This window comes from Homo sapiens, chromosome 17 (assembly GCF_000001405.40).
Source record: "Homo sapiens chromosome 17, GRCh38.p14 Primary Assembly".
Lineage (NCBI taxonomy): Eukaryota > Metazoa > Chordata > Mammalia > Primates > Hominidae > Homo > Homo sapiens.
In genome coordinates, this window is record NC_000017.11 from 71800474 (window position 1) to 71802917 (window position 2444).

General features: G+C 40.3%; 1 annotated feature.

Moving 5' to 3' along the window:
* Window positions 584-1303: an enhancer, noted in NCBI's record as "enh5". NCBI's record gives the evidence for it as "EXISTENCE:reporter gene assay evidence [ECO:0000049][PMID:21408189]".

Sequence of the window (2444 nt, forward strand, 5' to 3'; positions counted from 1 at the left end):
TCCCTAAAAGTTAGAGTTAAATCACTCCTCTAAAACTAATTGTTTCTGCCCAATAGCAAAAGTCACTGCTTGGCAGGTAAATTATGCAAATGCAATTTGTCTATGCTCCATGTTATTTCTGTGTATGGAAAAGTTGTCATGGCCAGGGCAATCTATATTAATAGAATGAGTAGAAGAAACAAGGAGTGGCCTATATGGACTGGATAGGACCTGTGTAGAAAATGGAAGGAAAGCGGGGCTTAAGTCAGGAGACCTTGGTTAAAGCCCCAGTTCTGCCACTCACTCACTGTGATCTATCAATGGCAAGTTATTTAATTACTGATCTTGGCTGTAAAAGAGGAAAAACAATACCTGCTTTATCTTGAGGGAAGATAACGTATATGAAAGTACAGCATAACTACACACATAGACAAAATTCTAGGAACCGTAAAAAAATGCTTATCCTGAATTCTATAGTCTGCATCCATTTCAGAGGATATGAAATAGGATCGGCTTAGATCATCCAATGTCTTTATATTCCTATAACATGATGCAATTTTTTAGGAACAAAATAACTGGTGACTGTAGAAAACTTAATAGAAATCTTCTTCCCAAGTCTGTCTCTGGATTTGCCCGTAAAAGGATCTCCTTTAAAACAAAGTCTGGAAAAGACCAATGATGATGACTGTCCCAGACTGGCAATGAGCAAAGCCTCCCTCTTCTTATTAGGGACCAATTAATATTCATGTAGTCCCAACCCTGAAGGGATTTAGCTCCAGCATTTCATAAAACTGAAGTAATCCATCATCCAAAAAGGGCAAAGAGGCAAAATTTCTGAGCCCTTTTTCTCAAACTCCATTAGAAAATGTAAGCTCACGTTACTTCCCCTCCCTAACCCTTTCCTGCTTTATGAAGTGAGACTATTGTGGATAACTGTGGTCTCGTAATGCATTTTTGGCCAGCCAAGGCAGTACCATGGCTTCAGAAACTCTCTTTAGTAGGAGTTGGCCAGTGTTCTATTGTTTGCGTCTGGGACATGGCCAGTGGAGTTCGGACATCTGCCCATTGTGTGAGTTCCTTGGGCGCCAGAGGGCTGAAGCTCATTATTCCACTGGGAATTATGCCTCTGTTCCTTGAAAAGGGAGTGACTCACCAACAACCCTCTATCACATCTGACATTTGGAAGACGAAAATCCTTTGTGAGTTCCAAGTTTAATTTTGTGGGTGAGTTTCTTATTCTAACCAAGCTGATCCATAAAGGTATTGACTGGAGTTTGTTCTTTGGTAAGAAATTTGGGAATCCCATTTCTAGATGTGCCTAGGATTATGCCAATCCAAACAGTCTATCCCCTCTGGCTGCAAAACCAGAGGATAAAAAGAGAGAACAAGCATCACAAGAGGCAGCAGGGGCAGTGCTGGCATGGTATAAGGAGCTGGCAAATTTCTCAGTTCTCTCAATAATTTTGCTTTTTTCATGCCCCTTCCTTTTAATTCTATTGCAACCCATTCCAAGACCTCTGAGAATCTCAATAAACAGTTCTATTTTAATCTCCTACTTTTGTTATTAACTAGTAATGGCACATTGGAAAAGCTTATAATCCAAAGTTTCAATTTTTTGCCTTGAAAATGGGCACTATATTAGCATGTACCACACAAGGCAGTGAAGACTAAATTGCTTAGTATGAGAGCATGGTACATAATAAATGCTCAGTAAAAGTCCGAGATAAAAATGATGACAATGATGGGGTTTACAAATAGCTCAGCACAGTAGTTAGCATGTAATAATGACTTGATAAATGATGAGAATTATTATTAAAATTATATTATTACTTTTTCTAAGTAAAGGGTGAGAAGAGCTCAGTCAGCTTATTTGTTAAAGTTTATTTAGACTATTTCCCATTAAGGTAAACACCTGGCTTTGGCCAGGCCTGAAATTGAGGCTTGACCTTGAAATGCCATCACCTCTGCTGTTCTGTGACCTTGCTCCCAGCACCCGTTGACCAACATTTTAGTTCCTTAAGAGGTTCTAACCTAGCCTTTATGGCTAACAATAGCCAATAACTTCCAGGAAAACAAAAAGCAGGATATTGGGGTCTCTTGGCCTCTGCATCAAAGAACAGCTGGATCCAATTCAGAGCTTTAACTGAAGAAAGAAAGAAAAATGGATGCCCTTCCTCTGGTCGTATGTCAACTTTTACCGACTGTGTCTCTACCACCTGCAAGAACAGATGCAAATGGAGTGTTTTTATTAGGGTAAATCTTCCAGCAGATTATAAGAAATGGCCCTGCAAGAAACCAGTCCCATTGGGAATTAGTTGACAACACCCTCTGTGGATGCTGCGGCAAGGTGTGGCCCTTGGAGCGGAAGAGTTCTAGGTTCAAAGCCTGACTCAGCCCCCTGACCTTGGGCAGCTTTATTTATCTTTTTGGAGCTCAGGTGCTTCATTTCACATAAAGAGGCAGTA